Here is a 22,466-nt window from a genome sequence, read left to right on the forward strand (position 1 = left end):
CAAGGCATGAGATTTCTGGGCCATAGGGTAAATGTGTGTTTCACTTTATAAGAAACTGACAAGCTGTTTCCAAAGCGGTTGCTCCATTTTGCATTGTGTGAGCGTTTTAGCTGTTCTGCGTCCTTTCCAGCACCTGGTGTGCCCATTTAAAAGACTTCAGCCACTCTCAATAGGTGTGTAGGACTGGACTTAAATTTAAATTTGAGAGGCATCAGTATGTGTGTGTGTGCCTTTCACACCTCCACAGTCACCGGCCACATGCACTCGTAAGGAGTGAACACACACAGCAGCTGGGAAAGGTCTGAGCAAAGGGCCATGGGCAGGGCACCCAGCTAGACAGAAGGAAATCAAGGACCGTGCTCTATGGTCCAACCAAGAAAGGATTTTAAAAAGAGAGAGTGAGCTAGTGGCCAATTGTTGCTGAATGCCTGCATATGATAAAGAGTGAAAATTGAGCACTGGATTTAGAAAGATGGTGGTTTTTGTTGACCTTGACAAGAGCAGTTCCAGGGTTGCAGCAGTGATGAGACCTGCATGAGAGGGAGTTCAGGAGGGCAGGGACTTGGGCGATGGGACTGGCTCCTCATCCAAGATAGGGCAGTGGAGTCTGCAGGCTGTGTCTCCAATTTTCTCCTTTCTCCTTAGTAATAGAAATCTAAATTTATTTAGGATGGCAATGTGCCCAGATGAAAAGACTACATTTTCCAGCTCTCTGGAAAGGCTACAACTAGACAAGCTGATGACACTTGTTGAATGGACTTCCATGAAAACTCAGTAAGAGTGGGGAGGTGATAGTTGGCCATGATCCACTTGCCTTTCCCTGCCCTCCTTCCTGGAATCGGGGGGACATACTGACTGCAGCCAGTGGTGATTACAGGACCTTCAACTTGGATGACCTTGAGGATGCAAGCCAGCTTGAGGATGGCAGAGAAGAAAGACAGGAGTTACTGAGCTCCCTGGTGGTTCTACTGAGCTGCCAAGCCAGCCTCCAGCCTGGGCCTCCTTAAACCCATATGTGGCTAAACCAATGCACTTGAGTCTATTGGCTGTTGAACAAACCTCCTAACCGAAACAGACTGTAAGCCTCAATATTAATGTGTCAATTCTCCTCATTAATCTATAAATTTAATTTGATCTTCAAATATATACAGAAATAGCATGTTTTGGATTGAGTCAAGCTGTTGCTAAAATTCACATAGAAAAACGAGCAAGTAAGAATTGTTCAAGAAGTTCCAAAACAGAGATGTAGTAGTGGGTGATGAGGGATATAGCTATATGTTTTAAGCTATAATAAATAAAACTGTGTGGTGCTGGTGCATGGATAGGGAATCCGGTCAAGGGAACAGAATATAGAGTCCAAAAACAGAACCAGTTACAGGAGGAAACTGAAAGTTGTATGATGATTCTTCCTCAGATATTCTTAAATAGTGGGGAAAAGATGGGTTATTCGATGAACAGTGTTGGGACCACAAAGCAGCCATCTGAGAAAATTACTGGCCCATAACTAGGCTAGTAATGGAGATCTCCAACTGAGATATATTCCAAATGAATCAAAGATTTAAAGGTCAAAAAAAAAAAAAAACCAAACACATACTACTCGAAAAATTAAAACATAGGAGAGTTATTTATAGTCTCAGAGTAGTAAAGTCCTATGACAGTAAACAAAGAAACAAAGAAACCCCAGAAATCATAAAATAAAGTCTTGATAAGTTTGACTACCTAAAAGAATTCTGCATGACAATATCCACCCATAAGCAAAACCGAATAATAAACAACAAACTGGGAAACAAGTTTGGAACTCTGATCACAGACTGAGGTCAATTTCTTTAATACATAAAGAGCTCCCACAAAATAAGACCAAAAATTCAAAATAAAAGTAGGCAAAGGATTCACAGAGACAATTCACAGTAAAGGAAATACAAATAGCTCATAAATGTGAAGAGATGTTCATCTTTACTGAGATGAAGAGAAACACAAATTAAAACTCCCTGGAGATGCCCCTTTCTCACCCAACAGGTCCTCAAGGATTGGAAGCTGGGTGACACTGCGGTGGCCATAGTCTGCACATGCAGGCCTTGTGATACTTGTAGCCTGACAGAACCCAGGAACTGTACCAAAAACTCCCTGCTGTTACAGCATCACTCCCCAGCATGCTAACCGCCTTCCTCCCCAGCATGCTAACCGCCTTCCTCCCCAGCATGCTAACCGCCTTCCTCCCCGGCATGCTAACCGCCTTCCTCCCCGGCATGCTAACCGCCTTCCTCCCCGGCATGCTAACCGCCTTCCTCCCTGGCATGCTAACTGCCTTTGCAAGCTTTCCTGAGAGACAGGGGCTCCATCTTTACTTCCCAGATGAGGATGGTGAGGCTCAGAGAGGCTGGGGACAGTTAACTGGGGCTAAATCAGGAATGAACTCAAGCCATGGTATCCAAAAACAAGTGGAAGGACAAGTGGAAGAATGAAGGGTACCCTCAGCCTGTCTTCCTCCTTTCTTCTTCTCTCTCTTTGTTCTGTCTTCTCTCCTCTGCAAATGAATACAGGGTACTCGACTGACCTGTGCACAAAGAAGTATCATTAAGTCCTGCCCTCAGGCTTCCAGCTGGTTTCCTACAGATCTGAAAAGCCATGGCCTAGGCCGGTGTAGGCCGTGGGCCCCCTAAGCAAGACTATGAAAGAATCTGGGCTGTGTGGACTGCTCTTTCCTTGAGTGTTGCTGAGAACCAGGCTGCCCCCGCACCGTTCTGAGAAGGAGACTCTTCTCTGGATGCCATTGGAGGCCCTGGAGCCCAAGATGCCATCCACGAGCCAGTCCAGCCGAAGCTCAAGCTGGAGACCAGGGTCCTATTTTGACTTTGCTGCCACTGAGATGCGATGTGGTATTCTATGGGGGGAAGGTTCTCTCTCAAAGAAGAGTGAGGCCAAATCAGCTGTTTCGGAAGGAGAGTAGAGCTTGACCACCAGGGAGTCAAGAGGCTCATCAGCAGTGGGTCCCAGAGGGTGAAGGGACGGGGAATGGGGCATAGGGGATGCAACCTGCCAGGTTCCTCGCAGGGACCAGATATGCTGCCTCTGCCCCTCCAGGCGTGAGGAGGCTAGCCAGGGAAGGCCTGTGGGTGAGGTCGGGAGAACACGCTGGGAGGTGCATGTGCCGCACGGGTGCGGGAAGTGTGTGAAAAGTGGTTGTGTGGGGGCAGGGTGAAGGCCTAAGAGGCAGCTGCCATTCACCAATCTCCTTGTTGGTGTTCAGTCTTGTATGGCAGCTTCCTTTAGCTTCCCTCTTCTCAGAAATATTCATGGTTCTGAGCCCACGCTTTCCGTAATGTGGATTCACCCGCTCAGCCAGCCACTGGCCAGCTTTTAAGGGCTTAGGCTCATACTCCTCAGCTCTGAAAAATGTTCCTAGGAAAATGTATCACTTTATTTGCTTATGCAGCAGTCGATCAACAAATTGTGTGTGTGTGTGTGTGTGGGTGTGCAGGTGTGAATGAGTGTGGCCAGGGTGGGTGTGAAGGAGTGGGTAGAAGATGGATTTTGCTCTTGAGGAACTCGCAGTCTAATTCAAGAGGTCAGACACTTGCGCAGATAATTGTAGTCCACGGCAGAAAACAGTAAGCCCCAGAGGCCAGTGAAGTGGCCCTGAGCTGGACAGGTGGAGGAGGCCATGAGCATCATTGCTTTCCTTCCCACCAGGGAGGCCACGGAGCTTTAGCTCTCTCAGGTCCAAGAACTGCACTTGGCCAGGGGTGGTCCCTGAATCCCGATCATGAAAGCCACCGCTGGGCGGGCAGATGTCTTACCTGGGGGCTCCCCAAGCCGTAGCTGGGTTCAGATGTTCATGCCGGTGACCTCAGCCAGCCACGTCCTGGGCCTGCCTTTCTTGCCTTTCTCGCTGATGCCCCTCCAGCTCCCAGGGCAGACCCCGTGCTCTTAGCTGATTCTGGAGACACCTCCCACCCTCCTCCCCTTGCCCTCAGCCCCAGCACCGCCACCTCTTTGTGGGGTGGTTTGCACCTTGCAGGGTGCCAGGTGGCTCATAGCCCCTGCCGCCACCACCTCCTAGCTGTCTCCTGTGAGCTGCCACCTCTCCCAGCCGCATTGTGCCTTCTTTGAGGCCAGGGCTCCAGCTACGCCTCTCCGTGGCCTTGGCAGTTCTCTAGGTAGATGCTTCCCAACTCACTGATGGGCCAGGAGTGAGGTGTGGGGCTGCCTCGCTTAGCCCAGGCCCTGTGGAGACTGCAGTCTGAGAAGCTGGGCCTCTGTGCAGAGGGGCCTCCTGGTCGTCAGAGCAGCCTGCCCCTGTGGCAGGCGTCCCTCCACATCCTCAGCTCCCAGGCTGGCAGCCCCCTGACTCTGCCTGAACACTTGAGTGGCAGATTTCTCACCATTTCCTGGGGAAGCGATTCCAATTTCAATGTGAGAACGTGACTCCTTTTAATGAGTCAATATCTGTCTTCCTGAATCTTTCACCAGTTGGCTCTTGTTCTGTCTTCTGGAATCTCACAGGAAAAAAAATCCCACCTCCGCACCCCCGACAGCGTCCAGTGGAGACACTCACGGAGTGAGAGCTCTCCATCCGCAGGGCAGGGCGGGCGACTCCATCCGCAGGGCAGGGCGGGCGACTCACACCTGGGGGTTCTGACCCCACCTTGGTGGGGGCCTTCTCTCACCACAAACAAACACGGTGGAACCAGCACCCTGCCCTGCCCAGCCAGCAACTGGGGGAGACTGGGAGCACCGGGGTTAGCCTCTGCAGGAGGCTTCTGGCCCCACTGGCCCTCTGACAGGCAAATGCATAGGAATCTCACCATGTTCAGCCTTGGACAAACACACATTCTCAAGACAGCAGCTGGTGGAGAAGGAAGTGAGCCTAGAAGTCCATGTCAAGCCCACGGTGCCTCCTCCACCCAGCCTGGCATCCTGCCTGGGGGCTGAAGGGAGACTGGTGCCCAGGGCCTGCCGGGGCAGCTCAGCCACCTCTGTCTCAAAAGGACCCGGGTGCCCCACAGGAGAGGCTGAGGCTGAGGCCTGGAAGTCCTGGTCCCCTCCCACACGCAGCCCTCCCTGCTCCTCCAGCTGCCCCTGCCTGCCCCTGCTCACCCAGCCTTCACCCCCGACTCTCTCATAGACCAGAAACCACGTGGCGAGGCTGGGTGCATATTCACATGAGAGAGAACGCCACAGCAACCCTGAGACAACAAGAACACTTTCCTGACAGATGCTGGAGACGCCCCTTCCTATGGGGGTGTGTGTGAGCCCTGGAGCCACCGAGCCACAGGGGCAGGATGCCCTCTCCTTGGTAAAGCTGAGGGCATTGGCCCGCATGGATTTTGAGGAGGCTGGTTGTGTATGTGTGGTGAATTGGGAGTCTCTGCTGCAAGCTGGCTTCTGAGTTGCCTTGTGCCTTGGAAAGCATGACAAGTTGCTGAGTTCAAAGGCAGGTGGGAGGGGAAGCTGCACACTGGGAGGCAGTGTGCTCAGTGTGGCCGGCAAGGATGCTGTGGGCATCAGGAGGCATCAGCTGTAGCAGTGGCTTTGGGGTTCAGGGTGCACAATCTTGCTTGGTATTTTCTAGAGACTAGACATCTGGCTTAGGAGCCCAGAGGTCTGGGGCTCTGACCTGACATCACACAGCATGTGTGGATTAAGATCATGGGTTCTAAAGTCACACTGCCTTGGGTTTGTGCCTGTGCTGTGACTTCCCATATGGCCTGGAGGACCCCTTCTGGGCCCACGGTACACTGTGGGATAATAGCACCTGTCTCAGGAGGCTGGCTAGGACACAGGCTCAGGAACCCTGTGACTTTGGGCAGCCACTCCACCTCTCTGTGCCCAGCTTCCTTTTCTTAATAAGGGAGGCAGAATGGAACCTGCCTCATTGAGGAGCCGTGAAGATTAAATGAGATGAATCAGGCAGAGGGCTTTGAATAGTGCCAGGTCCACTGTATGTATCTGATACATGTGAGTTATGTTGAGGAACTCAAAGGGTTGGGTGGGGGTGAGACAGATCTCAATGCATGTGCTGTAGCACATAATACACAATAATACACACTCACAACTGATGATGATGACTATGATTGGCAGTAATAGCAGTGCTATGACCCATCTCCTCTTTGTTTCTCAAGAATAAGGCACACGTATATCTATCCAAAATTTGTACATGCTTTTGGGGAACATAAACCCAGAAATACATTACCACATATAAAAAATCTGCTCTGCACAAAATCAGAAGCAAGTCCCTCAAGCTTGTTTAAATAAGACAGAATCCTCACTCTGCTTCCATGAGAAGAATGGAAGACAAGAAGGGAGAGTGAGATGGTTCTCTCCTTGCCGAGAGGGCTTCACCATCTGGAAGGAAGAAAAGGGCTCTGAATTAAGAGCAAGGAAGGGAAGGCGAAAGGGAACCTAGGGCCCAAGTGGGGAAGCCTACGGGACTCCTGTGCATTGGGAGTCGGGGCACTGAGCCCCCAGTCCCTCCCACTGGCTGGCAGCGGTGCTCCTGCAGAGAAGGGCCTGTCAGTAGTCCAGGAACCCCAGAAGGTTCCACAGCAACTTCACTGAACAGCCACCTGACCCTCCTGGAGTCTCCAGCACCCAGGATAGAGTCTATAGTGGTCCAAGTGTGATCCCTGGATCGACGGTGCCAGCACCACCTGGGGTCTTTCTGAAGTGCACATTCCTGGGCCCCATTCCAGACATACTGGGGAAGAGCCTCCGGAGTGGGCCAGCAATCCTTGTTTCAACAAGCCCTCCTGGGGGTTGCTGATGCGGGTCAGTAGGAAGACAGAATTGTGGACATCTTCTGAATTGTAAGATGGGGCGACACCACTGTCTGCTTTCCTGCGTCTCAGTGTGCAGAGAGCTTGAGTTTGGGTGGTGGGCAAATCTGCATTCAAATCCCATTTTAGTCTCTTGTTGTTTGTGTGATTTGGGGAAGCTGGGCTCCTCTGTTGTGATATCTCTAAAATGGGGTAATAATGCCTAGTCTGAGGGTCCTCGTAGGGATTGGAAGTAACATATGGGAAATTCTTGGCACAAGTTCTTGTCAAACGAGAAGACAGATGAAGAAGCCCTCCTCCATCTGTACCTCTTCTCCCTATTTTCCCCAGAACTTGGAATGGTGCTTTGCTCTTAATTGGCAATTAATATATAAACAAAATTAATTGAAAGCATTTTAAGCACTTGTCATCCGGAGCTCATTCCACTGGATGGTTCCCTGTCTTCCCGACTCACCCCAGCAGACACTGAACACAGGAGGAAGCCGAGGTAGCTGTGCGGGACACATTTCAACAAACAGAAATCCAGCGCAACTTCTAAGGCATCGCCGCCTTCCTGTCCCATTTTATTTCCAAATCCTAATGCAGTTTTGCCAAGAAGCACCCAACATTCCTCCAAAATCTTCTTCCAACCCAACCAGCCAATCCCCACTTCAGCCAAAAACCAAACCAAACGAAACCAACTAGCAAACCAACCACAAGTGCACACACCCACACACACCTGCACACACACCCGCACACACATGCATGTGCACGTGTGAAAACAAATGCCTGTCCTCTCTCTGGTCCGGTTCAGGGTGGGTGGCTTTCCCCAGCTCTGCAGGTGATGTTCTTGCCTGTATCAGCGAGAGCCGTGTGGGGCTGCAGAGGAGCTGCCCTTCTTTCCTGGAGAGACGAAGCCCCGGAGGTGATGCACTGCTCCAGGGCAGGACGGTGAGGGCTGGATGGGGAGCGCGTAGCTCCAGCACCCTGTCCTGAACTGGAGCCAAGGGACTGTCGGCAAGAAGAGCCAAGGGCATTTTTGTTCCTGTTTTCAGTGCCACATTGGGTGCAAAACACCAAGTGGACAAAAAGGCTATCAATACTTGCCAAGCCGTGAGGGAAAGTGCAGCTCACTTAGCTGCCTTGACATCGATTTTCACCTGCTTTTGTTGATGAAGCTGCATTCGTAAGAGTGATAAATCCATTAGACAAACATGGCGCTCCGTTATTGACAGTGTCTGCCACGCAGGTGTGCGGGGACAGGGCTCTGCCGGGGCTGGCCAGCCTGGCCAAGGGGTCAGAGCCTGCACTCCGTTATTGACAGTGTCTGCCGCGCGGGTGTGCGGGGACGGGGCTCTGCTGGGGCTGGCCAGCCTGGCCAAGGGGTCAGAGCCTGCAGAGACTGGCTGGGCAGTGCAGAGGAGGGGTCCGGGGTGCTGGTGGCCCCAGTGCTCTTCCCCAGGTATGGCTAGGTGGGCCTTGTGAAACTTACCTGCACCTTTCTGAGCTCCAGCTCTCACCTGTCCCTCAAGGCTCAGAGAGGATGGCTGGAGAGAAAACCAAGCACAGAACGGATTTTCATCCGCCTCTCCCTACCTCTCCTCGCAATCACTCTATGGAGCAGGTGGGAGGAAGCCCTCCCGCTTATAGACAGGAAACTAATATTCAGAGCTAGGAAGTGATTCACTCCGGGCCTCACGAATACTGCAAACCAGGGCCTAGAACCCAGGGACAGAATTTCTGATGCCAGCTCCAGCTGGATCCACAAGCAGCTGCCTCTCGGCTCTGTGTGTTGAGAGAGAAATGCTGTTTTCTCCTCATCAGTTGGTACAGGGACCCAGCTGAGAAGCTTGTGGTCCCTGGAAGCAGCCTCAGGGCAGGGACCGGAGTTCCTCACTAGAGGGGGTGCCCATGCCAGGGTTGTTGGCACAGTGACCAGTGCAGGCTGACTCTCCAGGGAGGCGGTGCTGGGTCTCCACTGGGAAGATGCAGCCTGGTGGTGGATATGTGCTGCTGGAGGCAGTGCCAGTGAGGCGGGGCTGGCCTGCATGGGCCTGGTGGAGCAGAAGTGGAGAAGCTCCCACCACACCAGAGCTCAGGTGCTGGGCACGGCAGGTGCCTTCACAGTCCTGGCAATGCCCACCAGTCTACACAAGGCCCCTGAGTGTGTTAGGGGTTCGCTGGGCCCCCACATCCCCCTGTGGCAGAGCTGGAACTTAACTTGACACTCTCCCACTCCCGCCTCCTGACCCTATCCGCTGTGCCCAACTACACAGAGGGCTGGGGGCCCAGAGTGAGGGTGTTATGTCCGACCTGGGCAGGTGAGGCCACTCTCTGTCCCAGGCACCTGGGAAAGCATCCAGAGGGCTGGGAAGGCTGAAGAAGCAAGAGGGCAGCTCGGTGGAGGGAGGGGCACTGCTGGGCGTGGCAGTGAGGCTGAGGAGGGCTGGAGGCTGAAAAGGTCAGGCTTGCTCTGCAGGCACTCGCCCCCAGGAAGCCTTCCTTGATTTATTTCACACCCAGATCGCTCAATCCTGCAGCCTGGTGGGCAGACATCGTGAACACTGATTTGAAGGGCTGCTCTTGTCCTTCCTCCTCGGCAGGAGGGTGAGCCTTTGAGGGCACAGAGGGGACGCTCTGGGCTCCATCTCCCCTCCCGCCTCTGCCCCGCACGGCTTCCCCACCTCAGCACCACTTTGACACTGTGGCAGGGCACCTGAATCTAACAGGGACTGCAAACAGGAATTGACTCAAAGAAGGTGGCGGTAGCAGGTGGACGGTGAGGTGGCGGATAACGGTAGGTGGTCTTTGGCACTCCCCTCCAGGGTCCCCCAGGCCTTTTAGCCTGTCTTGAGAGCACAGAGTATGTGCCAGGCAGGACCTCTCAGCCCACCCAGAGCTCTGGGTCCACCAAGGGCCCTGAGGGAGAAGGCGCCCTGGACGCTGACGTTCCTTCACACTGCACCCTGCACACCCAGCACCGAGCACCGCTTTGGGGCTGGGGAGGGCACGCTGGTGTCCCTGCCTCTCGCTACCTGGTAACTAGGCCGAGGGTTACCTGCCAGGGCCTGGTTCTTGCACAGTAATTATGCCCTCAGAAGCCGGCCTGCTAATTGCTTTTGCTATTTCTGGACTCTGCCCCTTCTGATCCGTCCTCCTGCTAGAGACAGAAATAACCAGACACTTGGTGGGTAATTACTGCGTAGCAGCCCCAGCATCAGCAGTGCTGAGCAGCAGATGCAGACCCCTGACTCAGCGTGTGGGTTTGGGGCTGGGAATCACCGGGAGGTACCTGACCCTGGCATGGGGAGCACACCCGGAGCCTCCTCCCCCTGGAGACGCGCTCCCGCCTTTCTCCCGTGCTGAGCTGGTCTTACAGCAGCCCTCTCTCAGTCCTCTCCCCTCACCTGCACCACCTCCTTCTCTTCCATGTCTCCAGCTTATGGGATAGAACAGCAGGAACTGATTCCCAATTGTGTCTTTTCCCCCCATTGGTCCCCACTACCTTTGGAGAGGAAATAGGAAGTCAAAATATTATGGTTCCTATTTGCAAATACTCTTACTTTTAAGAATGAATGAATGATGGCAATAGTGGACAGACAGTAAGGAGGAGGGGTTCAGAGGAAGGTGAGAGCCTCTGGGGTGCAGCCCTGGCAGGCTTCGTGAAGGAGGTAAGGCCTGAGCTGGCTTTGAAGGGCAGGCAGCCCCTAGATAGACAGGACCATTGCTCCAGCCGTACAGAGAGACTGGGTGGTAGGAAAAGTTTGGGACACCAGGTTTGCAGGTCTCTCAGGGGCAGTGTCATAGGCAGGCACAGAGCCTCCCCCTTCTCTAAGCAGGGCGAGCCCTTTCCCTTCACACCTTGGAGCCTTAACTCTGCAAGTGAACACTGATAACAGGAGGAGGCTTCCATGGTTGCCCAGGCTGGGGTGTGTGTTAAAGGAAGCAGAACTGTTTCTTGGCATCTGAGGCTGAGCCCCTCCCTAACCCCACTGCTGGGTCCTCCTCCTAATTCCCAGAGCAGAGGATACGTATATGCATAGTTGAATAAGGAAGGACCCCGAGTAAATCACTGTCCTCATCCTTGAGGGCACTGGTCACTCAGCTTGTGGTTTGATAGCCCCTCATGGCTGCACTGATCGCCGCGCATGCCGTGGTGTCACCACCTGAGCTGCTCTTTGGGCATGTGGCATCTGCCGCCTGGGCTTTGCACCATCTCTTTCTGCCTAAACACCAACTCCCCAAACAGATGAGAGTACTTCAAAAGCAGCAGCTCCTTGCATACCCCTGGGGGCCCCCTTGCCTGACACAGTGCCCAGGCTCCGCCCCCAGCCATCTGTTCTGCAAGAGGCACGCCTCCATCCATTCACAGTCATCTCTTGAGCACCTGCAGCATGCCAAGCGCTGTGCCATGAGTGAGAATAAGGTTGGAGAGACACAGTTCCTGCCGGCAGGGAGCTTGGAGTGGAGAGGGGGACAGCAGTTTCAATGAGGGACCAGAGGAGGAAGCCCAGGGAACCCAGAGAAGGAGCCTTTCATTCTGCTCGTGCCGGGCTGGGGGCAATGTCACGGGGATGGAGGACACCGTAGGGTTTAAACAGGTTCAGAGGGAGAGATGCTCAAGGGAGCTCAGGGAGGCTACAGCTTTGCTCCCGGTGCCCACTGGGTACACCTGGTCATTGACAGAACTAGAGACAGTCCCCAACTTATGACGGTTTGACTTACAGTGTTTTGGCTTTTCAATGGTGCCAAAGCAATACACATTCAATAGAAACTGTACTACCGACACAACCATTCTGCCTTTTGCTTTCACAGTATTCAAAAAATTCCCTGAGATATGTAACACTTTATTACGTAATAGGCTTCGCGTTGGATGGTTTTGCACAATGGTAGGTTAATGTCAGCGCTCTGAGCATATTAATGTAGGCTCAGCTAAGCTAAGCTATGATGCTCAGTAGTTTAGGTGCATTAATTGCATTTTTTACTTAAGATATTTTCAACTTATTGTGGGTTTATAGGGACATAATCCTGTCATTAAGCTGAGGGACATCTGTAGGTCTACAACCTTGGGTTTGTGACTCTGAGACCGGGGGTCCCCTTCACCCACCTATGCTGTAGGTTGTGTTGGGGCGGACGCTACAAACCCAAGAAAGACAACTCGCGTGGCTTTGGGCTTCTGCCGACACAGGGGCCTGGTGGAATCCTGGACACCTCAGATGAAGAGTTTGCGAAGGACTTTGGTGGTGCAAACAAAATGTGCTCCACTGCGGAGTGTGCCGGTGGAGGAAATTTAGCGCTTCTCATGCTCTGTTCTCTACAATGTTGACACAGGCTGAGCTCAGATGCAAACAACAGAAGCAAAGCTGATGTTTGGGCCTGTCTAGGGACTATCCCTGTCTCCAGGAAATCCGGCAGGGGACCCAATGTTTATTTTCCTTCTTTCCTCAAGTCTGCTCTCATGCATGGTGAGACAAAAGTCTGAGGCCAGGTGAGAACAGAGAGCGTTCAGGTTTACCTCCCAGACTTGTCCTCATCAATAAATGCTATGCTTCGTATTTGTGCTCCCACCCCAAGCTCCCAGAGGCTCCATCTCAATTACAGACCCCACTGGAAGGATGCCAGCACATGCCCAGTTCCCGTCACTGACTGGAACAGACCGGAAAAGCCGGCCTGTCGTTTAAGACCCAGGACCTCCTTATCTTGTGGTCATTTCACTCTTTGGGACTGGCAGGTACTGCCTCTCAGACCTACTAAAATCAGGCCCAAGACTGTGGGGACTGGAGCTGGGAGAGGATGGGCCGTTTTTTCTCCCAGGGAGACAGTAATTGCAAATGTGTCACCAGCAGTGACATGGTGGTGAGCAATTAATTCTGGGGGACTCCCTGCCTGTCACCAAGTGTGTCTTCTGCCCTGAGCAGCCTCTCTTGCTTAGAAGCCTACCCCACCTTTCAGTAGACAAGCTGATTTATTGTAGACCCTGTTCCCTCAGGGCAGCAGGGGTCTTGCAGCTGAGGGTTTGATTTTGGAGACATGGCCGTGTGAGGTAAGGAGAAGAGATACAGACAGAATGCTAGAAATGGGTAACACTTGTGTAGAGCTTACTATGTGACAAGCCTGCTTCCAAACGTATGCTTATTACAATAGCCCTATAGGGCAGCACTATTATTATTTCCATTTCAGAGATGGGGAAATCGAGGCTCAGGGGGTTATTAATCAACTAGCCCAAGGACCTACAGCCCAAAGTGGCAGAGCAGAATTCCCATCCAGCCGGTCTTGCCCTGGAATGTGTGGTCTTAACTGTAGCACTGCACGGCCGTTCCTTGCGTGTGCCCCAAGGAGCCGGTGAGCACACCAGAACCAGGCCGGCTGCTTCAAAGCCAGAGTCACCCTCACGATGTGTGCGTGCCTGGGCCAGTCACTGCTTTTTCTCTTAAGCCTCAGTTTTCTCATCTGTGAAACAGGACAGTGGAACCCACTTCAGAAGGTTGTCATGAAGGCAAAATGGCAGAACACCACGCAGTCTCCCGACCCCCTCCTGCTCCTCTCCCAGATCCCCCGCCTGCTTCTCACCCTGCTTGGCATGGAAAGCTTCACTATTACTTCCCCGGTGCTCCATTTGGTAATCACTGTGTACTACATTGTTGCCAAGAATCATGCTGATTTCTAACGCCAAAGGACAACATCTAGAACTGAACGCCGTAGCAGTCTGGACCCCTGACTTCTGATGACATGGCCAGCAGCAGTGAGGAAACTCATGCTAACAGCACCAGCCCTGACGGGGTGTGCATCCTGCGGGCTGCCTGGAGGTCTGAGGGTGCAGAAGCGCTGTTGGCCCTTTCAGGAGGAGCATTGCAGGGCAAGCTTGGAGTGGAAAGGCCGCATGGTTCTCTGCAATCTGCCAAGGTCAGCTGGTGTCAGAGACAGCAGGTTATCCAGGGAGAGGCTGGAAAACTTACGTGTTCGGTTGGAGGAAGTCTTACTTTCATTATGATTCTTATTATTTGAAGCTCATGTTGAAGTAAGCTATGAGCTCAGGCACCAGTTGCCCAGGGCTGGGTGGCAGGTTCATGAGGCAGAGAGGGCTCCCTCTGGGGCGGGGTCCCATGCGTCCAGGCCACACAGGGGTCCTGGGCAGGACCATACATCCAGCCCAGGGTGCACGACTTGAAGGGATGGCCTTCAGTAAGACACTTCACCTCACTGGGCCTCAGTTTCCCCAGTTACATACCTAAAAGTTTGAATCCTGTGTCTAAGATTTAGCTTTCCCTCTAGCTTTTATCTTCTGTAAGCGTTTTGATCTATAAGCTCAGTGGAGGTTTAAGGGCAAAGTGCACACCCTTGGGCCCAGAAAGAGGGAGCCCATTTGCATTTGAAAGATCCCAGAACCTTCTGAATTCTGCCTTGAGTGAGGCTGGATGATGGCCTGGCAGCCCCAGCACGAAAAGCAGGTTCCAGGCCTTCCCCCAACAGCTGCTGACCAGAGCACAGCAGATGCTTCCTGCTCCAAAGCTGACTTCTTTCTTTACAGAAGCCTCCTGGGGACCTCACGGAGGATGCGTTCCGTGCTCGCCTTTCCCTCCCTGTCCCTCTGGCATGGCCTGTAGTTGGAAACAGTCACAGCAAAAGCAACTAGCTCGACTAAGAGCAGGACGAGGTTCTCTCCATAGCCAGGAAGCAGGCTGGGATTGAAGGGAAGGTGAGACTGTGAGATGAGCCATTTTGGTAAAAAGAGGACACTGGCCCCTCTGCTGTTTTGCAGAACTCAGGGTTAAGGCGGCATCAGAGTCTCTGTGTTGGCACACGTGGATTGGAAGGTTTCTGTCACATTTGTGGTTTAGTTAGGAGGATTGTGACAGGAGACAGCAGGGTTGGAAGAATCAGGCCAGTGTGGTGCCATGTGCTCCTGTGGATTGGTCCTGTCTGCCTCTGCCCACCCCAGGGAGAGGGAGCACAGCCAAATGGTCAAGAACTTTGACTTTTCATTCCAGCAGCTGGGCTGAGGTCCTATCTCTTCTTCTCACAGGCTGTGGGATTTGGACAAATCGGTCAACCTTTCTGTGCCTCAATAATGGGATAATAGGAGTGTCTCCTCGCAGGCTTGTCGGGAGGTCTAAGTGACAGGGGGCTTGTCAACAGCTGGTTATAGGCCACAGCCCACAGATGTGAAGGTTGGCACCATCCATCCATCTCCCGCTGCCTGTGCCAGTTACCCATTGCCAATCATTTATTCCCACCAAATAAAAAATATTCTTTATACTAATTTTCTTGCCAATTTTCATTTTTTCATTTATTTCTTAGGTTTCTAATGATTTTATTATTTTTGGTCTATTACTCTACTAAGACACTATTCTCCAAAACCAGTTACAATACATATCTTCAATCAATCAATCATCCATCTATGTATCTATCTTGTATCATCCATCCATCTGCCTCTGTCAATCTATCCTCAACTATATTAAAAGCAGGCTCATTTGCAGAAGGACACACATCTTTCAGACAGGTCCATCACTCCTGCCCCACGCAGAGGAAAATCTCATTTTCAAGGGAGCATTGAACTGTGACGACAGTGTGCAGATGAACAAGCCAGCAACACGTGGTGGCAGGTGTTTGGAGCACCAGGCTTTTAGAGTCGGAGACACACGCCAAAGTCTCAGCTCCAGGCCCCTTAGACAGGAGGTTCATCCTGCATCCCAGCAAACAGATTCACCTCCCAAAGGCCGATGGGCTGGAGAGGGTCCCTCCTCTACAGGTAAGGTAGAGGGCCCCATTTTCAGATGTGAGCCCTTCACAGTCCCTGCGTCTCTGGAATTGCACCCATGCTGAGTGGAGCCCTGCGGAGGACCTCTCACCGCCGCACCGTGAACATACGTGACCAGCGGGCTTTTCGTTGACACGTGATATTCTCCTTATGGGTCTCTCAATGCTGCTGTGGTGACTTCAGCCACTGTATCTGTTTCACTGGAGTGTTTCCTTGTTTCACACTTACCCTTTTCTGTCTCTTTTCTGTAAAAGCTTTCCATCCACCTTCCCCACCCAGGCCTGAGTCCTGGTGCCACCTCCCAGCCTCACGTTGTCAATGGTCATTCTCTCCACACACCACGCTCCTGCCTCGGGATTTCCAGGGCTGCCTCAGTCCACCCAGAACCGTAAGCACTGCAGACCCCTCCTCTCCCTGGCCACCCCTTCCCACGGGCCAGTGGATTCCCCTTTCTCCATTGCATTGACTGTGGAGTGATTCCCGTCCATCCGCTCTGTCTGCAGTGTGGACAGAGTGCAGCGTCTTCCACACTGAGCAAGCAGTGGGGCCTGGAGTGAGGGCGGAGCAGGGAGACAGATCCTTCTCTGGAGGCTGTGGGTTACAGGCTACCTCCAGATCCTGGAGGAAGGGGCCCCACCCAGGGAGTAGGAGGGGGTGGCCCCCAGGGAGACCCGACATCTGTGCTCACTTTGCAGATGCCGAGGTTAGCACCAGGGAGGGGCGGAATGTGGTGACATGGAGCTGGGAGTCCATAGGCATGCACACCCACGGACACACACATGCACAGACCAGCACACCCACAGACACACATGCATAGATCCATTCACACACAGGCACACCCACGGACACACATGCACAGACCAGCTCACAGACAGACACGCACAGACCAGCTCACACACACACATGCACACCCACAGACACACGCAGACCAGCTCACACACACGTGCACAGACCAGCTCACACACACACACCCACAGACCAGCTCACACAGAGACATGCACAGACCTGCTCACACAGACACACATGCACAGATCCATTCACACACAGGCGCACCCACAGACACACACATGCACAGACCAGCTCACACACACACAGACACATGCACACACACAGATAACACTCACACAGACTCACGCATACAGACACATGCACGCATACATACTACACAGAGACACACACAGATACAGACACACAGATCCACTCATACATGCAGAGACACCTGCAAACACAGAAGCACACACACAGACACACACAAACACTGGGGTACTTGTGACCACTCCCTGTGTGGGCACCATCACACACACTGGATCAGAGCCATGGGCATTGTGGCTTTCTTGTGGATGTGGTGGCATTTGCTGACATAAAAAGAAAGAGCGAGAGGGAGGCGGCACCCATCTGAGGAGCACAGGCACTGATGAGGAGTGTGGCTGATGGGACAGGCAGTGAGTGAGCGGTCGGGTAAGCATGTTTATAAATCAAGAGGAGCGCAAGCTTGTCCTCGTGTGGATCTGCTGTGTGCACAGGGGTGCAGTTCGTGTACACTTGCCCTGGGATGTTGGTCATGGGTGCTAATGGCAGGCATGTGTTAGACACAAGTGCTGCCTGTGTCTCCTTGAATACGGGTGTGCCTGTCCTGTCGTATGTCCTCGGTGCTTGCTGGAACTGCTGCTCAGCCCCTCTCGCCTCTGGCCCAGCTCCAGTGCCTGCCCTGAGGGTCCTGCATCCCGCACTCACACTTGCACCTGCAGATTCCCCAGGGCAGCCGGCTCCAGTCCCCACAGGGCTCCTAATAGCCGAAGGCATGGGAAACACCTGGTCACTTCTGTCTAAGCCAGTGACCTTTGATCCAATTGATAGGAGCGCCTTGGAGGGCTGCAGGCCAGCAGAGAGTGGGGATGGAAGGAAGGTGGGTGATTCCTTCCTCCCCCTTCCCACCTCCCCAGCAGCAGGTAAAGATGGTGATGGATGAAGCTGGAGGAAAAGGCAGATTGGTTTTGGGTCCTGATGAATAAAGTCTTTCATGCTTCCTGAAATTGCTAGAAGGCCGGGGGAACACAGCCATTGCAGGAAGCTGAGGGATTTTCCTCCTGATCGGCGGCCCCAGGGGGAGGACTGACAAGTGGTTATCTTGTTTATTGTTGGAGGGAGAGAAACGAGCTGTCTGGCATTGTCCATTCTGGGATGTTCTGGCTCTGACACGGGGAGGTGCTCTGGGAATGCGGGGAGGCTGGCCCGGCCGCGGGGAGGCGCCGTGAGAACCGGGCCCGCCGCGGGGAGACGCAGTGAGAACCGGGCCGGCCGCGGGGAGGCGCAGTGAGAACCAGGCCGGCCGCGGGGAGGCGCAGTGAGAGCCCGCCCGGCCGCGGGGAGGCGCAGTGAGAACCGGGCCGGCCGCGGGGAGGCGCAGTGAGAGCCCGCCCGGCCGCGGGGAGGCGCAGTGAGAACCGGGCCGGCCGCGGGGAGGCGCCGTGAGAACCGGGCCGGCCGCGGGGAGGCGCAGTGAGAGCCCGCCCGGCCGCGGGGAGGCGCCGTGAGAACCGGGCCGGCCGCGGGGAGGCGCAGTGAGAGCCCGCCCGGCCGCGGGGAGGCGCAGTGAGAACCAGGCCGGCCGCGGGGAGGCGCCGTGAGAACCGGGCCGGCCGCGGGGAGGCGCCGTGAGAACCGGGCCGGCCGCGGGGAGACGCAGTGAGAACCGGGCCGGCCGCGGGGAGGCGCCGTGAGAACCAGGCCGGCCGCGGGGAGACGCAGTGAGAGCCGGCCCGGCCGCGGGGAGGCGCCGTGAGAACCCGCCCGGCCGCGGGGAGGCGCCGTGAGAGCCCGCCCGGCCGCGGGGAGGCGCAGTGAGAGCCCGCCCGGCCGCGGGGAGGCGCAGTGAGAACCGGGCCGGCCGCGGGGAGGCGCCGTGAGAGCCCGCCCGGCCGCGGGGAGACGCAGTGAGAACCGGGCCGGCCGCGGGGAGGCGCCGTGAGAGCCCGCCCGGCCGCGGGGAGGCGCCGTGAGAACCGGGCCGGCCGCGGGGAGGCGCCGTGAGAACCGGGCCGGCCGCGGGGAGGCGCAGTGAGAACCGGGCCGGCTCCCGCCTCAGGACCCTGCGGCGGCTCTTGCTGCTGACTGTGGCACCTCCTCTGCCTGGATCCCAAGGCCCCTAACCGAGGCCTGCTTTCCCTCCTGAACCTTGTTCCCCATCTTCTCAGAGCCACCTTGCCCCTGCACGGACTGCTCTTAATTGCCCCCAGCCCAGGAGGGGCCAACTGTGTAGCGGTTTCCACCCAGGGCTCAGATCTAAGCCCAGTGATTTGCTGGCCATGTGGCCACTGGTGAATTGCATACATCTTTACGCCTCGATTTCCTGACTACAAAATGGGTGTCGACACTGATCTCATTGGGCTACGTGAGGATTAAACGGAATAATGTGTAGAGGACTTAGCTCAATGCCCAGCACCAGTAACTGGTAGCTAAAATGTTCTATTTCACCTCTAATGGGGCTTGCCCATTATTTAACCTGCTATTTCCTTCTGAATTTTCCAGGCCTAGCTCAAGTGCCATTTCTTTCTTGAAACGTACCATGACTAATATACACTAAATTGGATTCCTTTGCTTCCTTGAGAACCCTGTTGAGTTTGAGCCTAATGATTATCCTGTATAATTAATCCTGTATTGTATAATTAATCCAACTAAGTCATCATCGTTGAGCATCAACCATGTGCCAGACATTTTTGCTAAGAATTTCCTCCACTGAATGTCAGTTCCATTAGAGGCGGGAACATGTCTTACAGGCCTGCTTGTCGGAGCATCTGGCATAGTGCTGGGCACTGAATGGTGCCTCAGAAACACGGTTCAGTTGCTGGGAGGGTGGTTAGCAGGGATCGCTGGCTCTGTCCAAGGAGTCGTGGGACTGGAACAAAGAAACAAGAGTCGCCATGCCTTAACGTTGGATGCCTAACAAAATAGATGAACTCACAGGGTGATGTCAGAGAGTGCAGCAGGCGTTCAGTGGGTCGTGTCCTGGAATCTATGATTCTGAAGGGACTGAGAAGAATTCTACCCCAAGCTCTCACCCAAAGTGAGAAGCGCCCGCTGTCCCATGCTGCCTTGAGCACTGACATCCCTTTGGCCTGTCCGAGAGCCAGAGGGCTCATTACGCACAAAGAGGCGTATATGTCTGCACGGGGCATGATTGATAGCAGTTCTTAGAACTCTAAACAGGGTGGAGCTTGTCGTTTGGAGAAATGTGAAATGAATCGAATCAGGCTTCTGCATAGCAACTCCTCGGATGTTCCGAGACCATTGGCCCCTCCTCTGAAGCCACACCCAGCTTCGTGCTCTTTTTCCCAGGCCCCATAAGAAGGGGTTTCTAGATCTCTTACTGCCCTGACCCCTCTTCTGTGCACACACCCTGTTTGTGCACAGCCATCTCTCTGCGGGTCACTGGAGCAGAGCAGAGCACCGCCGGCTCTGAGCAGGGCACCACCCTGAGTGGCTCGTCCCTCCTTTACCTGAAACCATGTTCTGCAAATCCGGCCTGAGAAAGAGACACTGTCTTTATTTATTCGTTTTGTTAAGCAATGGCATGAACATGGACAAAACCGCACATGAGTGTATGGGGGCAAGGATATATTCTGCAAATCGAGTACACAAATGAAGGCCTGCATAGATTCAGGATTGAGTAAAATGTGATATATGCTCATGCCTGTAATCCCACACTTTGGGAGGCCGAGGAGGGCAGATTACCTGAGGTCAAGAGTTTGAGACCAGCCTGGCCAACATGGGGAAATCCCCGTCTCTACTAAAAATACAAAAATAAGCTGGGAATGATGACGCATGCCTGTACTCCTAGCTACTCTGGAGGCTGAGGCAGGAGAATCATTCGAACCTGGGAGGTGGAGGTGGCAGTGAGCTGAGATCGTGCCACTGCACTCCAGCTTGGGCAACAGAGTGAGACTCTGTCTTGGAAAAAAAAAAGTGATATATATATGTGCCCAGCTCTTCAGAGGATGTAAAATATCTGCATTGATATTGTTCAAAGGGATGGAAGTAAGTGAAATACTCCTCTTCAAATTGCTTTATTGTGAGAAAATATACATAACATAAAATTTAGCATTTTACCTGTTTTAAGTCATTCAGTGGGATTAAGTTCATTCACATGATTATGCAATCATCACCAATATCCATCTCCAGAACTCTTTCATCTCGTAAAATGAAACCTTTGCACCCAAGAAATATGAACTTTCTATTTTCCCCTGCCCCCAGTCCCTGATACCCAATGTTCTGTTTTCTACCTCTATGAATCTGACGACCCTGGGTAGCTCTCATAAGTGGAACCATAGAGTATTTGTTCTTTCCTGACTGGCTTATTCACCAGCACAATGGCCTCCGGTTTCAACTGTGTGGTAGCAGGTGTCAGGATTTCTTTCCTCTATGGGGCTGCCTGATGTTCCACGATACGCATAGACCACATTTGGCTTATCCACTTAACCATCCATGGACACCTGGGTTGCTGTTTTGGCTATTGTGAATAAAGCTGCTGTGATCATGGGTGCACATATCTGTCTGAGTCCCTGCTTTCAGTTCTTGTGTGTATATACCCAGAATAAAGCTGCTGTGATCATGGGTGCACGTATCTGTCTGAGTCCCTGCTTTCAGTTCTTGTGTGTATATACCCAGAAGTGGAATTCCTTGATCATGTGATAGTTTTAAGTGTAATTTTTGGAGGAACCACTGTACTTTTTCTTACAGAGGCTGTAGAGTTTTATATGCTCATTAGCAAGGTATAAGTGTTCCAATTTCTCCATATCATCACCAACACTTACTAGTTTTCATTTTTCTGATAATATCCTAATGGGCATAAGGTGATCCCTCATGGCTTTGATTTGTATTTTCTCATGACTAGTCATGCAGAAGGTCTTTCCATGTGCTTATTGGCCATTTGTGCATCTCCTTTGGAGAAATGTCTACTCAAGTCCTTTGCCCATTTTTAAATTGGGTCGTTTGTGGCGTAAACGACTTTTTGAAATAAGTGTGAAGGTATTTTTTATAACCATGTTTAGATTACATTGTGTTTTATTTGGTGAGTATAAAATATTCAGTAGAAAATATTCTTGTCTCTTCAATACCTGTGATTTTAAAGGGGAGCATCCTTTAGCAAGAGGATCAGAATATGTCAAATAGAAGAAAATTCTCCTTTTCCCAGTGCAGTGCCACTGACAGAGAAAGAGCACGCCAGGTTCAGAGTCCCAGACGAGCAGGCCCAGGCGAGCCCAGGGCTCGGGATTGGGTGCCAGCTACAGCTCAAGCTGCCCAGTTAATCTGAATCTCAGATAAACAAGGAAGAACTTTTTAGTACAACATGTCCCCAATACTGCATGGGACACACTTGTACTAAAATGTTATTTGCTGTTTATCTGAAATTCCAGTTTAGTTCGGTGTCCTGTCGTTTCATTTGCTAAATCGTGGCCCCCTACACAGTGTGACACAGGGCAGGGTGTTCGGTGAGTCAGTGTCACTGGGAGGCACCAGACTCAAGAACAGTATCGAGAAGGCCGCATGCCCAGCTGAGTTCCACACGAGTGTGGCTCAGCCTCCTGAAGACTGCAGGTGTTCTTTCACGTGAACTGCGTGGTTTTGAAAGAAGCCCAGTGGGGGTCTCTCGGGGGTGGTCTGCCTTTGCCAGTCAGAGCCGTTTGTACTATGGAAAGGTTCTTGCAGCACGCATTTCTTGCTGGGGCTGGTCAGACCCCACCCTTTCCTTTAGAGGAAGGGTCCCTCTTTGCCAACTGCATGGTTTGGGGTGGGGGTCGCTGATCAGCATGCTCCCTTGTGATGTGGGGAGCACATGGTAGCACCACCCACCCCAGTGCCCCCGCTCCTGCCTGGCCTGACCCATCCAGGGACAAGAGTGAACCAGTCTGGGACCAATCCCAGGCCTCCCTTGGCATTTTCTAACCAGAGCTGGT

General features: G+C 53.1%; 5 annotated features.

The window, feature by feature from the left end:
• Positions 2,437–2,938: an enhancer, noted in NCBI's record as "H3K4me1 hESC enhancer chr11:134378035-134378536 (GRCh37/hg19 assembly coordinates)". NCBI's record gives its function as "activates a minimal SCP1, AML or CMV promoter by ChIP-STARR-seq in naive H9 embryonic stem cells {active_cell/tissue: H9 hESC(naive)}" and the evidence as "EXISTENCE:reporter gene assay evidence [ECO:0000049][PMID:30033119]".
• Positions 3,664–4,193: an enhancer, noted in NCBI's record as "H3K4me1 hESC enhancer chr11:134379262-134379791 (GRCh37/hg19 assembly coordinates)". NCBI's record gives its function as "activates a minimal SCP1, AML or CMV promoter by ChIP-STARR-seq in primed H9 embryonic stem cells {active_cell/tissue: H9 hESC(primed)}" and the evidence as "EXISTENCE:reporter gene assay evidence [ECO:0000049][PMID:30033119]".
• Positions 4,194–4,722: an enhancer, noted in NCBI's record as "H3K4me1 hESC enhancer chr11:134379792-134380320 (GRCh37/hg19 assembly coordinates)". NCBI's record gives its function as "activates a minimal SCP1, AML or CMV promoter by ChIP-STARR-seq in primed H9 embryonic stem cells {active_cell/tissue: H9 hESC(primed)}" and the evidence as "EXISTENCE:reporter gene assay evidence [ECO:0000049][PMID:30033119]".
• Positions 10,969–11,494: an enhancer, noted in NCBI's record as "H3K4me1 hESC enhancer chr11:134386567-134387092 (GRCh37/hg19 assembly coordinates)". NCBI's record gives its function as "activates a minimal SCP1, AML or CMV promoter by ChIP-STARR-seq in naive H9 embryonic stem cells {active_cell/tissue: H9 hESC(naive)}" and the evidence as "EXISTENCE:reporter gene assay evidence [ECO:0000049][PMID:30033119]".
• Positions 21,797–22,298: an enhancer, noted in NCBI's record as "H3K4me1 hESC enhancer chr11:134397395-134397896 (GRCh37/hg19 assembly coordinates)". NCBI's record gives its function as "activates a minimal SCP1, AML or CMV promoter by ChIP-STARR-seq in naive H9 embryonic stem cells {active_cell/tissue: H9 hESC(naive)}" and the evidence as "EXISTENCE:reporter gene assay evidence [ECO:0000049][PMID:30033119]".

Source organism: Homo sapiens, chromosome 11, assembly GCF_000001405.40.
Source record: "Homo sapiens chromosome 11, GRCh38.p14 Primary Assembly".
NCBI classification, from domain to species: Eukaryota; Metazoa; Chordata; class Mammalia; order Primates; family Hominidae; genus Homo; species Homo sapiens.